The sequence below is a fragment of the Homo sapiens genome, chromosome 9, assembly GCF_000001405.40.
Source record: "Homo sapiens chromosome 9, GRCh38.p14 Primary Assembly".
In the NCBI taxonomy this organism is placed as follows: Eukaryota; Metazoa; Chordata; class Mammalia; order Primates; family Hominidae; genus Homo; species Homo sapiens.
In genome coordinates this window covers 35,103,998-35,117,071 of record NC_000009.12, presented here as the reverse complement: position 1 = coordinate 35,117,071, position 13,074 = coordinate 35,103,998, and the positions used below count along the sequence as shown (strand labels likewise).

At 54.9% G+C, this 13,074-nt stretch overlaps 1 protein-coding gene across 22 annotated transcripts, besides 6 other annotated features; it reads left to right on the top strand.

The window, feature by feature from the left end:
• The first annotated feature begins 691 nt into the window (after positions 1–691).
• ATOSB (atos homolog B) lies at positions 692–12,955 on the top strand. 22 transcript variants are annotated; one of them, XM_047423916.1, is made up of 10 exons: positions 970–1,022; positions 8,335–8,478; positions 8,723–9,389; positions 9,504–9,691; positions 10,181–10,239; positions 10,429–10,534; positions 10,662–10,820; positions 11,063–11,131; positions 11,215–11,390; positions 11,698–12,955. In XM_047423916.1, the coding sequence occupies exons 3-10, from the start codon at positions 8,798–8,800 to the stop codon at positions 11,849–11,851; spliced, it is 1,503 nt and encodes a 500-aa protein (XP_047279872.1). In that variant the 5' UTR covers positions 970–1,022; positions 8,335–8,478; positions 8,723–8,797; the 3' UTR covers positions 11,852–12,955. The 22 variants fall into 22 exon arrangements, 21 of the variants coding, with proteins under 21 accessions (XP_005251648.1, XP_024303457.1, XP_047279872.1 ...); XM_047423917.1 differs by lacking the exon at positions 970–1,022 and adding an exon at positions 1,065–1,113; NR_134455.2 differs by lacking the exon at positions 970–1,022 and adding an exon at positions 1,210–1,401 and having other exon boundaries at positions 8,723–8,944.
• Positions 1,006–1,065: a silencer, noted in NCBI's record as "silent region_19862". NCBI's record gives its function as "represses an Ori minimal core promoter by ATAC-STARR-seq in GM12878 lymphoblastoid cells {active_cell/tissue: GM12878}" and the evidence as "EXISTENCE:reporter gene assay evidence [ECO:0000049][PMID:35858748]".
• Positions 2,399–3,228: an enhancer, noted in NCBI's record as "NANOG-H3K27ac-H3K4me1 hESC enhancer chr9:35113841-35114670 (GRCh37/hg19 assembly coordinates)". NCBI's record gives its function as "activates a minimal SCP1, AML or CMV promoter by ChIP-STARR-seq in naive H9 embryonic stem cells {active_cell/tissue: H9 hESC(naive)}" and the evidence as "EXISTENCE:reporter gene assay evidence [ECO:0000049][PMID:30033119]".
• Positions 5,180–5,449: a silencer, noted in NCBI's record as "silent region_19861". NCBI's record gives its function as "represses an Ori minimal core promoter by ATAC-STARR-seq in GM12878 lymphoblastoid cells {active_cell/tissue: GM12878}" and the evidence as "EXISTENCE:reporter gene assay evidence [ECO:0000049][PMID:35858748]".
• Positions 5,510–5,719: a silencer, noted in NCBI's record as "silent region_19860". NCBI's record gives its function as "represses an Ori minimal core promoter by ATAC-STARR-seq in GM12878 lymphoblastoid cells {active_cell/tissue: GM12878}" and the evidence as "EXISTENCE:reporter gene assay evidence [ECO:0000049][PMID:35858748]".
• Positions 7,601–7,745: an enhancer, noted in NCBI's record as "145 bp enhancer 90 fragment used in the MPRA reporter construct; PK_construct_4059". NCBI's record gives its function as "activates an SV40 promoter by MPRA in K562 cells {active_cell/tissue: K562}" and the evidence as "EXISTENCE:reporter gene assay evidence [ECO:0000049][PMID:23512712]".
• Positions 7,664–7,681: a transcriptional cis regulatory region, noted in NCBI's record as "GATA motif; enhancer activity is reduced when this motif is scrambled". NCBI's record gives its function as "necessary for full MPRA enhancer 90 activity {active_cell/tissue: K562}" and the evidence as "EXISTENCE:site-directed mutagenesis evidence [ECO:0005528][PMID:23512712]".
• Positions 12,956–13,074: the final 119 nt, after the last annotated feature.

Here is a 13,074-nt window from a genome sequence, read left to right as displayed (position 1 = left end):
AGAGGCCACAGATCGGCGCTGAGCTGGGCTGTCTCAGTTCTGCAAGTGTCCTGTGCTGCCATCTACCGGTGTCTGGGAAGCGTCGCCCTCCCTTATTGTATCTCCTGGGGAGAGGTTGGAGAGGGCGCCGCTTAAACTGCAGAACATATGTAACTGTCATGCAGTTCATTAGACACCTGTACAAGGGAAAGGCCTCACTTTTCTCCAGCAATTGCAGGCCCTCCTAACTCCATATCAACACTCATCTCGTAAAATTCACAGATCTCGCTGACCTGCCTCAGTAGGTACTGATCTGACTCCTACTGTCCATCCCATCCCAGAACCCACACCCGCCTGCACAGCGTAGGCTTCAGAAACTGCTCAACCTCGCAGACCTGAACCCCACCGCCCAGATTCCCTCATTTTCACAGACCCCTGAGATTCCTTGCACTACCTTGCAATCCCTACGGACCTCCCCTATTAGTGCAAATGCACGCGCCCACCCAGACATCCCTACAAAGAGGTTAGAGTTCCGGCGGCAGCTCACACCGGTGCGAAAGCAGCGAGATAGCCCCAACCCGGCTCAGAGCCCTCAGGCTGGTGGCTTTGGCCCTGGCTCCATCTCCCCACCTCTGCCCTGATCCGCTCCGCTCAGGCTAGCAGCCTGCCGGCCGAGGCCCCGCCCCTCTAGACTTGTCATCACAGAAGCCGCACGTGGCCGGGGTGGGACCTCAGGCGACCTGCGACCATCACTTTGTCTCCTCCTTCCTCCTTTGGGGCCGCCACCGCCAATCAGAGCCAGCGGATCCTGGTTGGAGTGCGACCGCCCGGGTGAGGCGTGAGGGAGAAGGGGCGGAAGGAGGAGGGGCTCTGAGATGGGAGGGGGATCGTGGTGGAAGGGTCTTGGCGCGACTTCTGCCAGGCTGGAATCCGAGGGGGCGGGTCCTGGTGAAAGGCGGAGAGACCGAGAGGAGGCGGGGATCGGGGGTGGGGCCTGGGAAAAGCTGAGGATCCTGGGGAAATGCAAAGAAAACGCGAAGGAGGTGCGAGGTCAGAAGGGGGCGGGGCCCGGGCTACAGGGGAGGAGCTCGAGAAATTAAACGAGGAAAGGGACAAGTCCACAGAAGGTGGAAGGTGGGACAAGGGAGAGGGTGGGCCCGGGCGTTGCGGGGGCGGGGCTCAGACTGAAGGGGCGAGGTTTGCAGGCGGAGGCTACAGCTAGGGCTGCTCAGTAACTGCCCCAACCACTACCACGTCCCCAAGTGCAACGGGACCCACGGAACTACAGGTGTGGGGCAGGGTGAGCGTGGAAGAAGGGACGCGGATGGGGGTGCGCTTTGCAGACGATCTGGAGACTGCTGTGTGTTGAGGGAAGATACGAAGTCGCGGGAGCAGTTGGGGACTCAATGTGTGGGCAACAAGGTGCATTCTCCAGAGGCCTCTATGGGGGAAGGGCGGGAGCGCTTTGTTGTGGGGGGGTTGCGAGGTACATTGTGAGGGGGCTGTCTCTGTCTGATGTGGGGGGTTGGAGGAGGTACATGAGGGGCAGGGGACATGGAGGTGCTTTGAAGGAAGGGGGGCTGTTTAATGGAGAAGGAGTGTAGCGGTGTCGGAGGGTCTGCGGGCACTATCTAGGGGAAGGGGTTGTAGGCCCAACTTGAGGCAGGAGAACAGAACCCCCAGTACTTTGACAAAGTAACAGTTTAGGGCATTGTAGTAACTACAGGAAGACACTTGTGTTCTGGGTTCTAAGAGCAAGGGTGTTGGGGTTAGTGGGGTGAAGAGGCCAATCTATTGCACTCCTGTCTGCTCAGCTTTTAACTCCGCCTTCTGGCCTGGGCACTCAGAGAGGAGTCAGACCCTGCTTGTCACTAGGGCTTGTGTGAATGTCTCCTCAGTCTATTTTGGATCTGTCCAGCTGAGACTGGGGTTTCTTCCCTAAGCTGAGGTCCCGGGGGACCCTTCCCCCGCTGGGTTCCTGTCAACCCCCCATCCTAGTTCCTGTTCCTCCCAGAGCCGGCCTTGGTCTCTGTCTCCCCCCTCCCCCGCCCTGCCCTTATGCTCTGGGTGTGCTCATTTCCCACTTCCTTCCTTGCCCCAGGGCCTGGCCTGGCCCTTGCCCATCTAGGAGCTGTGCCCTGCCCGGTACTTTGTTATCAATGACCAGAGACCCTGGTAACCAGCGGCAGGGCTCAGACCCCACCCCCACCACTACCACCCAGGTCTCTCGCATAGATCCCCAAGTGACTGGTAGCCACATTTAACCACTTGCCACAAACAGATTTTCCCCACCCTTATCCTTCTGGGTAGGGAACGCTAGGGCTTCTGTGGGAGGGGGGAAGTGGTGAGGAGTATTGAGGGTCTTCTGTCTGTTTTGAGAGGTGGGCCACGACTGTAAGCTGAACCCAGTAAGGGTTGTGAGGTTCCAGCCACAGCTAGGGGAGGAAGAGGGAGTGGCTCCCCACACTCCAGGCTTGGAAGCACTATCAGAACAGGCTAGGACCTAGTTCTCTTGAGGGCTCCTCTGCTTCCCTGAGGGGATTTGATGGAGTGCTAGAGTTCTTTTTGCCCCTGGGCTGGCTGGGAGAGGGTGGGAAAGGCTTGAGTTCCACACAGTGGCTAAATGAGTGTGACAGTGTTGCTAAAAGGGGCCCCAAGCCAGCCTCCTCACACAACCACCCAGGAGCTGAGAGACTGGCTGGGGAGGGGGGTGGGTCTGCTGAGGACAGACAAAGCCCTGGGGTAGGGTGGGGTAAAAAAGGGCAGGCTGAAGCCTTTTGAGGAGGAGCTGATTGCTATGGCAACACTGCTTCCCAGACAGTCTCTCAGAGAGGGCGGGCCTAGGGCAGACTCTCCAGCTTCCTCAGGACTGGGGCGGTTTGTGTGAGTGGGTGGGGCATGAAGAGAAAGGGCATCAGTTTGCTGTGCTGAGACTGGAGGATATAGCCTTTCTGCTTTGGTACAGGCAGCAGAGCATTCGAATGCCTGGAGCTATCCTCTGATATGGAGATGAGTGAACAACAGTCATTAGAATTGTAGAGCTGCAGAGGCCCTCAGCAGTCATTGTTTATACAAACACCTCATTTTACAGGTTTGGAAATTTATGGCTAAAGAGACTGTGATTCCCCAGATGTCACAGTGAAAGGGCAGAAGATAGGATCCAGATCGCCGGATTGCTGTTCACTCAGCCCAGGGCCTGTTGTTTTCTTCAGTCAATGTTTATTGAACATTGCCAGGGACTAATGTTGGCTCTGGGAATATGAGCATGAACGAAACAAAGTTGCTGCTCTCATGGAGCTTCCATTCTATTAAGGGGAGAAAGAAATTGTGGAGGGGGAGGGAGAAGTCAAGTAGTGATAACCGCTATATAAAAAAAAATAAAGCAGGATAAATTTAGGGCAGGAAGGTAAGGCCTCTTTATTTATTTATTTATTTATTTATTTATTTATTTATTTATTTATTTTTGAGACGGAGTCTCACTCACTCTGTCACCCAGGCTGGAGTGCAGTGGTGCGATCTTGGCTCACTACAACCTCCGCCTCCTGGGTTCAAGTGATTCTCCTGCCTCAGCCTCCTGAGTAGCTGGGATTACAGGTGCGCGCCACCACACTCAGCTAATTTTTGTATTTTTAGTAGAGACGGGGTTTCACCATGTTAGTCAGGCTGGTCTCGAACTCCTGAGCTTGTGATCCGCCCACTTTGGCCTCCCAAAGTGCTGGGATTACAGGCGTGAGCCACCGTACCTGGTGGTAAGTCCTCTTGGTTGTACCCTGCTGCTTTCCCAGGGTACACTGAGGCCTGGAACATCTTTGATCCTTCACCCTGAACTATTGTCCTCTGACCTTTGTAGGTAACCAAGGCCTGGCCTATGGTAGTGGCAGAAAGATAGAATAAGGTGGGGTTGCTAAGGGATTATTTTTTTCCTACAGTGTTCTACGTCTCTGTTTTCCTAGTAAGTTTTTATTAAGGCAAGTAGGCTCTTACATTGATACACTGTAATTTTGACAAGGGCATTGAAAATTTCCTTAACCCTGTTCCTTACACTAGGGAACCGGCAAGGAAGTCAGCCCAAGGGAACTGGGTTCTTATTCAGAGTTTTCCTCTTGAAAAGGGTGGTCTAGGGTGAGGTAAGGAGAAGGGAGCTTAGAGGGACTGTTACTTGCTTGTGTCTCCCAAGTCTAGGACTGAGGGACTAGGGGGAAGAGGAAGGAGCCTCTTTTTACTATCTAGTGATATAACCTCAGGGCCCTGGGGGGTCCACAGCACAGGCAAGGCAGAAACAAGGACCTTGGGCTCTCTGTGGCCTCTGAACTGTAGAAGAATGGACTTTCCCTCTTTGGCTCTGGTGTTTGCCTCCTGCTTCTGTGAAGGACCGGGAGAAAAAGCCTCCTAAGTCCCAAATTATCCGACTTGCTGACAAGTGCAGAGGGCAGGGTAGACAGGACTATTGCTTTTCTTAGTTTACCTCTAGAGTACCCTCTAGAAAGTGTCTTTGAATGCTCAATCCTTGCAAAGGTTTCCATCCTGGTCATTTAAAGAATAGGAGGACAAGGGTTAGGGATGCCGGTTCTGCTGCCATTTGATTTGACTGGGTCTGAACTGGGCTGGGGCCCAGTGACTCAGTGGGAGGGTGGATAGTTTTGAGGGAGCTGTGAGTCATGGGGTTGAGCTCCATCACAAGAGTTGGGCTCATTTCCCCCATTCTGGGCAGAAGCTCTCCTATCCCACTTCCCTGTATGCTCTGTCTCCTTGAACATGGGCCTGTGAGTAGAAAGAGTGCTGGCAGGCTGATCTCAGAAAGGGAGTTCAGAGGCACAAAGAATAATGCTGGTCCCTGAGATTAAAATGTATCCCTATCTTAGGAACCCGTGGGGCTCCTCTAAAGAAGGCAAAAGAACATCAATTTAAGAGTAACAGAGGGAAAAGTACCACTTCTTAACATGGAAGGAGATAGGGTCCCACCTCAGGCCTTTTTCTTCTCTGGCATGGAGGAAGCTTCCTGGGCTTCACTAGTTCTCCAGCTCTGAAGCTTTGGTTTGGAAGGTGGGGAAAGACAAATGGGAGTGAGGTATTTGGGGTCTGGGGTCTGGTATAGACAGCAGGCAGACTTTGAGGGTTGTCAAACCGTATCTTTAAAGCCCTCGGGCTTCCTATTAACCGTCCTGGAAGGAGGAAGGGCGGGGGAGTAGGGCGGAGGGGTAAGATGTGGAAGGCCTACGCCTTTGAAAGGGTTAAATGGCAGGGCAGGGTGTTGCTTTGGACTCCGGCAGCTGTCGGGTTAAGGAGAAGGGCGGAGCGACCTTGGGTAAGCCTACCCCCTTATGGACCAATAGGCGTGTGCCTCTTGGAGGGGGCGTGCCTCGCACTTGAGGTCGCGGGGAGGCTGGCTTCCTATGGACCAATGAGCATGGTCGCTTTCCAGGGAGGGCGTAGCCTGAGGGGGGCGTGGCGGCCGTGGCCGCCGCGGCGCGGGTGGTGGGGCACTGGGCGGGGCGGGCGGCCCCATCAGCTGGTAGGAAATGGCCTGTGAGTCAGAGGGGCAGTGGAGTCGGCGGCGCGGAGCCGGGGCGGCCCCGGGGAGGGACCGTCGCAGGGAGGGGCGCGGCAGCGGCTGGGGGGCTGCGGGCGCCAGGGCCCGCTAGTGTTGCACACGAAGCTGAACAGCGAAGAGCCTAGCAGAGCAGGGCTCAGCCTGAGCCACCCTTTGTCTGGGTTGGGGGCCCGTGGCAGGGAGGACCGGGGAACCAAGGGGAGGGACCGGGACGGGACGGGACGGAAGGGCCCGGAGCAGCGGCCACCTCCGCGGAGCCAATTTGGGAGCGGGGTGAGTGTGCTAGAGGGAAAGAGCAAATCTCCGAAGCTCCAGTATAGTATGGGGCCTGTCCCAGGCTGTGGGGAGGAGAGGAGTGAGAAGGGACCTGGGAGGCTGGGCAGGGGGTAAGGGATCGTCCAGAAGAAGGAGTCCAGGAGTCAGGTGAGTCTGCCTGGCTTAGTTTAGAGAGTCTGCTAAGGTCTGCTCTCTCCCCTCTGAAGATAGAGGGCTCTAGGCTGGGGGCCGAGGGGTTGGTAAGAGAGAAGAAGTCGACCTTCCTACCCACAGTGGTGGTCCGTGGGAACAGCCCCCCTAGCTTGTGTGGATGTATGTAGGGACAAAATAGAGAGCAGCTGGCAGCAGTTCTCTTTGCATAGGATGAGGGTGGAAAGCACATGGATAGGAATTCATCCTGTCACTCTCCTTGATCATGGTAGAAATGGAAATCTTTAATACTGAAGGGAAGGGGAGAATGAGCCTTGAAGCTGATACCTATACCAATACCCACCTCACCCACCTCCCAGGCCTCAAAAGTGTCTAAAGGTACAGACGTATTCTGGGACTTGTTGTTTTTGCTGGCCTTGCTCCCTCAGCATGTTGGGAGCTGTAGTCCTTGCCAGCCACAGCCTGGCACAGCTGTTTGATGCCAGCTGCTGCCCACCCCCTGAACGAAGAGTGAGGCTTGGCCTACTCTGCCCTGCCCCCCTCCCCTGCAGTCCTGCCCCATGAGTCAGCTTGAAGCCATGGTCTAGAGCCAGACTGGCTGGGTGGCAGGGGAGTGAATATAGAGCGTCTTGTTGACAGGGTGGGAACTGAGAGGGCTCTGGGGTTAATAAGCAGATGCCAGGTATGCTGGGGTCAAGTAGGGCATCATGTCATCCCCTGGCTTCCCCAGGGCAAGGGGTCAAGAGGGCAACTGGGATGACCTGGAAGTGGTGGTGCTAGGGAAAAGGCCCCTCCTGAATCTGTATGGCTTGGGTGGAGGAAAGAAGGGTAGAAATTAGTGCAGGTTGTACCTTCTGACAAGGTTGGTTGCAGGTAGGATAGTGCAGGTTGCGATTGGTGTTCTGCCCTTTCCAGCCATCCCGCCCACCACAGGGAACCAGGATTTTCTTAGGGATCCCAATTCTTAGGAGAATTTGGTGAAATGGGATAGTGGGGTACAATGATGGGAACTTGGTGTAGGAGAGCTTTTCAGTCCCTGGGTACAAATCTCTCCTTTCTGCCTGCTCCCCACCCCCACCTCTGTTCCTGATTTTCCCTTGTACAATTAATCTCTCTGCTTCTCTCATCTGGGAAATTTTTCTCTCCACTCTCAGGACTGCTGCTCAGATGTCTGGGACTTGCATTCTACTTTTTTTGAGCCCTGCTGTGTGCTTACCCCTGTACTTGGGGTTGGATGGAGGGGTGGGACACAGATCTGTCCTCAGGAACTCTATGGTCGGTCTAGAAGATGCCTTACCCACAGGAGTGAGCAGAACTGTTAGTGAGCTTACAGGAAGTAGTAACACTGCCATAGGTGAGGTCTCAGAGAAGGGAGAGATGCTTATGGTCTGGGGTGGACAGAGCAGACTTTCTGGAGGAGATGGCATTTGACCTATCCAAGGAGGAAAAGTCTTGGGTAGGCATTCAAAGGGCACTTCTTGAAGGGGAAAGAGCACCGTGAATGTCAGACAGCAAAAGAGAAGGCTGACCCTGGGGGCAGCTGGCTTTCAACTTGACATTCCCCTCACCCTAGTATGGGCTGGAATAGTTAGTGAAGACCATCTTATGCACCCGTGGTTTGGGGTTTTGGTGTTGGGTGTGTGAGCACTGGGGGAGGGGCGTGGAGAGGTACTCCCTAGTTGCTTCCAGCTGACTGACTGCTGCGGCCTTATCTCTAGTTTGCAGGGCCTTGCGGGAGGGCCCTGGAAAGTGCCTTCTGGCAGTGACCCCTTCCCCTTCCCCTTCTTGTTTTTGGTCGGATTTGTTGCCTCTTGTTAAAGAGACAGGCTGCTGGAGGCAATTTGGAGTTCAGGGCTGAAAGGCCAGCTCTGAGCTGACTTGAAATTTGTACCTCTGAGGACCGCTGATGGGGTATAACTGTGTGGGAGACCTCTGCCCTTAGTGCCCTAGGATGGCACTTGTCCCTTTGGAGATAGACATATAAGAAGGAGTTGTGCAATTTGGTGGCTTTGAGTAAGAAAGCTGAATTCTTCCCCTGGCCGCCTCTCAGCTGACACGGTCTCTTGGATCTTGGGGGTCTCTCATCCCTTCCTCCATGTAGGGCAGGAGTCCTCAAATGGTGGCCCTGACAAGTAGTTATTCTACCTCAACTCACTTGTCACATCCTTATTATACTGAGCCAAGACCTGCCTCTTTGACTCCTTAGGTAGCCCAACTCTGCCATCTGTGCCCTGGACCCCAAGCCTACCCTTTCTGTTCCTGAAGAGCCTCTCACATGGGAGAAGGATGTCCTGGAGTGTACTATTAGCCTATAATTGGTGACAGGCCTTACCGCTGGCTCCAGTGATCCTGGCTTACGTCTGTTCTTCTCTCCTCAGGGTCCTGCTGAGCTCAGGAGCTGCACGGAATGGTGGCAGTCACCTTGCCAGTGCAGCAGGCATGGATCAGACTGCAAGCTAGGGGCACGAGGCATCAGTTGGGAAGAGGGGACGCACAGCTAGGCTTGAGGCCTCTTCATCGGGGTAAGTACCAGGGAGAAGAGGGGGAAGTGTGTCCAGTAAGAAGCCTGAGCTAAACCTGTCACCCTCTCAGGAGTTCTGAGAGTGGTCTCTATATTCCATTAGTCCATCCAGGGATTTGTACACATTCATCCTTGGGAACCCATCAAAGTCACCCCTTTAGGCAAGGAGAGGGTCTGAAACTCAGCTGGAAGGAAGAAGACTCATTGATTCCCCTGACCACCTTTTCTTCTCTTCTCTTACACAGATGTCCCCAGGCCCCCCAGCCCAGGCCCAGCATAAAGGCCGTGTTGGGGGGCCCCCCTGACCCAAGGGGGGCTTCATGCGCCACGTGCAGGCGGAGCCGTCTCCATCCTCAGAGCCGGAGGCTGGCCCTTCACAGCCTCCAGTCAGGCAGGGGGCCCTCCAGGGTGGCCTGCTCATGGGCTACAGCCCAGCAGGGGGGGCGACATCCCCCGGGGTCTACCAGGTATCCATCTTTTCCCCTCCGGCTGGTACCTCTGAGCCTCATAGGGCCCTGAAACGACAAGCCCCATCCACTGAGGGTCCCCGGGAGCTGAAGAGAGGCCCTGGGCTGGGGGCCAGAGAGGGACTACCCCCTGAAGAACCATCTACTGTGGGGCTCTTAGGCCCAGAGGGACCGGGGCTGGGACTAGGTGTGGCCAGCCAGCATTTCTCCCACCGTGGCCTCTGTGTTGTGGAACAGAGAAGTAGTGTCACCTCATCTTGGACTTCGGGGGCCTGGAGTCCCCCCTGCCCCCCATCAAATGCTTCCTGCAATACTTTGCACACCAGAGACTGGGCCTCCCCAGATCCAGGGGGACAGGGGTCCCTGGGGGAGTCCCCAGGGCCAGCCCCTCCAGGCCAGCTGCACACACTTGACACTGATTTGCACAGTCTTGCACAAATAGGGGGTAAGAGCCCAGTGGCTGGGGTGGGCAATGGGGGTAGCCTCTGGCCTAGGGAGTCCCCTGGCACTGCCAATGGGCACAGTCCCGAGCACACACCCCCTGGCCCTGGACCCCCAGGCCCCTGCCCCACCAAGCGAAGGCTGCTTCCTGCTGGAGAAGCCCCAGATGTCAGCTCTGAGGAAGAGGGGCCAGCCCCTCGGAGGCGCCGGGGATCCCTGGGCCACCCTACTGCTGCCAACAGTTCTGATGCCAAAGCCACACCCTTCTGGAGCCACCTGCTGCCTGGGCCCAAAGAGCCTGTTTTGGTAAGCCAATAAAGGACCTCATTTACTCTTTTTTTACTTTTTTTTTTTTTTTTTTTTTTTTGAGATGGGATCTCACTCCATCACTGCTGGAGTGCAGTGGCACAATCTCAGCTGACTGCAACCTCCTCCTCCCAGGCTCAAGGGATCCTCCAACCTCAGCCTCCCAAGTATCTGGGACCACAGGCACATGACATTGCACCCAGCTAATTTTTGGTATTTTTGGTAGAAATGGGGTTTCGCCATGTTGCCCAAGCTGGTCTCGAACTCCTGAGCTCAAATCATCGACCCACCTTGGCCTTCTAAAGTGTTGTGATTACAGGCGCTCAAGCCACTGCGCCTGTCCTTCATGTACTCTTAAGTGGATATTTGTGTGGGTAAAGGTGGAGGCCTGGGGGGCAGGGTGTTCCTTTGAGAGTTTGTGATGAGCTTCTGCCCCAAAACATACATGGCCTTCACCCTGTGTCTTTTCCCAATCATTTCTCTCCGTAGGACCCAACAGACTGCGGTCCCATGGGGCGGAGGCTGAAAGGAGCCCGTCGCCTGAAGCTGTAAGTGACCAGCTTTTTCCTCTACCCTGTCCCTGAGAATGGGGGCAGAAGTCTGTACTCTTTCCAGCATCCGAGTAGGGGACCCCAGGGCAGAAGCCCTACATAGTGGCAGAGGGTGGAGTCCAAGGGCATAAGCAGGAATCCCAGAATACCTCAAGCCAACCCCCTGTGTTTCCCTTCCTCTACCAGGAGCCCCCTTCGAAGCCTCCGGAAGGGGCCAGGCCTGCTGAGCCCCCCCAGTGCCTCCCCTGTTCCTACCCCTGCTGTCAGCCGTACCCTGCTGGGCAACTTTGAGGTAGCTCCCGTTGGGGTTTGTGATTGCCGGGGTCCTGGGAGAGGTGGGATGGTGGAATGTGGCTTGGATGGATAAGGAAAAGAATTGGCATCTCTCTCTTCATGTGTTTTCCCTACCCTAATCCCAGGAATCATTGCTGCGAGGACGTTTTGCACCATCTGGCCACATTGAGGGCTTCACAGCAGAAATTGGAGCTAGTGGGTCATACTGCCCCCAGCACGTCACGCTGCCTGTCACTGTCACATTCTTTGATGTTTCTGAGCAAAATGCCCCGGCTCCCTTCCTGGTATGCCTTGACTCCAACCCCAAAGTCAGCTCATCAAGAGGATGAGGATTTGGGGGCGGGGCCAGGGGGCAAGAGGTATTTCTTACTTATTCCTCACCTAGAAGTGAGTCAGGGCCAGGTGAGGAGAACTCTACTGTAGGGCAGGGGCAGGTTCAGGGTGAGAGCTTGTGGAGAGGGACATGTGTTTAGGGCCCAGGGTTTTCCTAGTCCCCACCTTGACTGATGGCTCCCTGGCCTTCCAGGGCATCGTGGATCTGAACCCCTTGGGGAGGAAGGGTTACAGCGTGCCCAAGGTGGGCACCGTCCAAGTGGTGAGTTTGCCCTGAGGGAGTGGGAGTGGGGAGAGAGGAAAGCAGCCCTCAGGCCCTACCAACCTTGACTGTCCTGTCCCTAGACCTTATTTAACCCCAACCAGACTGTGGTAAAGATGTTCCTTGTGACCTTTGACTTCTCGGACATGCCTGCTGCCCACATGACCTTCCTGCGCCATCGCCTCTTTTTGGTGCCTGTGGGTGAGGAGGGAAATGCTAACCCCACCCACCGCCTCCTCTGCTACTTGCTGCACCTCAGGTGAGGAGAGGGCCCAGGGATGGCTGGGGAGGCCCAGGTATCCCCTCCCTGAAGAGGATCTCTCCTTGCTTCGATACTGTCCGGATTCTTGCTTAGTTTATTTTTAAATTTTTATGTATGTATGTACATATATATGTATGTATTCATTTATTTTTAGAGATGGGGTCTCGCTATGTTGCTTAGGCTGGTCTCCAACTCCTGGGCTCAAGCAGTCCTCCCACCTGGGTCTCCCAAAGCACTGGAATTACAGGCATGAGCCACTGAACCCAGCCTGGATTCTTACGTTGATCACATTGTCCTCCTCCAGGTTCCGGAGCTCCCGCTCAGGCCGCTTAAGCCTGCATGGAGATATCCGCCTGCTTTTTTCCCGCCGGAGCCTGGAGCTGGACACAGGGCTCCCCTACGAACTGCAGGCTGTGACCGAGGCCCCTCATAATCCACGTTATTCACCTTTGCCCTGATTGCCAGCACTCTGAACCCATGCGGGCTAATGACCTGCCCATCCTGCTCCATCTTAGAGAACATATATGGAGAGACAGCAAGAGACCCTTCAGGCTTGAATTAAAGCCCTCACCATGCTCACGCCCAAATGGATTATTTGGGTGTTTAAAGCTTCTGATTCTTACTACACCCTGCCCTACTTCGGGTACTCCATGTGCCTGTCCCCTCCCTTGGGTTTCCCAGGCCAGCTTAGGTAGTAGGGAGGAACTGGAGCTACCCTGAGATTTTCTCAAGTTCCCAGGCAAGTTATGCCAGCGTTGCCTCCCTGTCCTGGGCAGGGGCCACTTGTTATTTTATTTATTTTTAATTTATAATTTATTCAAATTGGATTGCCTTGGTAACCTCCCACACCTGATAATTGGCATCACTCCTCCCCGCTTCCCACTCTCAGATATTGCTCCAACCTCAGGAGTTGAAGAGGCTTATGCGGTGGGGGCAGGAGGAGAACTGCTTTCCCTCAGCTGAGGGAAGAGGGGCTATTCCAGAGGGACTGAGTCAGTAGCCAAAGACTCAGCTTCCCCTGTCCTTCCCCAGTCCCTTCACTTCCCCTACCCTCTGACCTATCTCTGAAAGCCAAGTTATGCGTATGTGTGTGTGCACAAGCTTGTCTTTGTGTGGTATGTGTGTGTGAGTGTGCATGTATGCACACACACAGGGGTTAACCACCCCTCACCTAGGGCTCCAGACTCCAGTTGTCCCTCTCCTCCTACCTGTGTCTCCTTGTTTTGGGGTCCTGACTGAAGAAGGTGTCCAGGGGGCAGAGTCAGGGCCAAGCACTGGGGTGCCTCCTCTCACCTGGCCAGACTCTGACCCACCTACCTCAGCTGGGGTGAGGGGCACCCCTCAAACTCAGTCATGTGGTTCCAAACTACCCCATTCCCCACTCCAGACTCTGACCCAGCCTCAGTCCTAACTCCTGGGGCTGGGCTGAGGGGAACAAGCATTTGCTGAAACTTGAAAAAACAAAGCAAATCAAAAACAGGAAAAAATTGTACCTGGTACTTTTTTTTAGAAAAAAAGATTAAAAAAGAAAGAATAAATTCTTGTTTGGAAACTTGAACTAAGCTCTACTTTTGTTGTTGTTGTTGTTGTTGGGGAGAGGGTGTGAAGGGGGATGGAGGGCCTTCCTGGAGCTGGGACTCAGCCCTTTCTACCAGAGAGGCAACAGGCCTGGGCCCATGAG

Coding starts and splice junctions, on each gene's coding strand:
- ATOSB (XM_005251591.2), top strand. CDS start 8,798: ATGCGCCACGTGCAGGCGGAGCCGTCTCCATCCTCAGAGCCGGAGGCT. Junction 10,535..10,661: donor CCCTGCTGGGCAACTTTGAG/GTAGCTCCCGTT, acceptor CCCTAATCCCAG/GAATCATTGCTGCGAGGACG. Junction 11,132..11,214: donor AGGTGGGCACCGTCCAAGTG/GTGAGTTTGCCC, acceptor TCCTGTCCCTAG/ACCTTATTTAACCCCAACCA.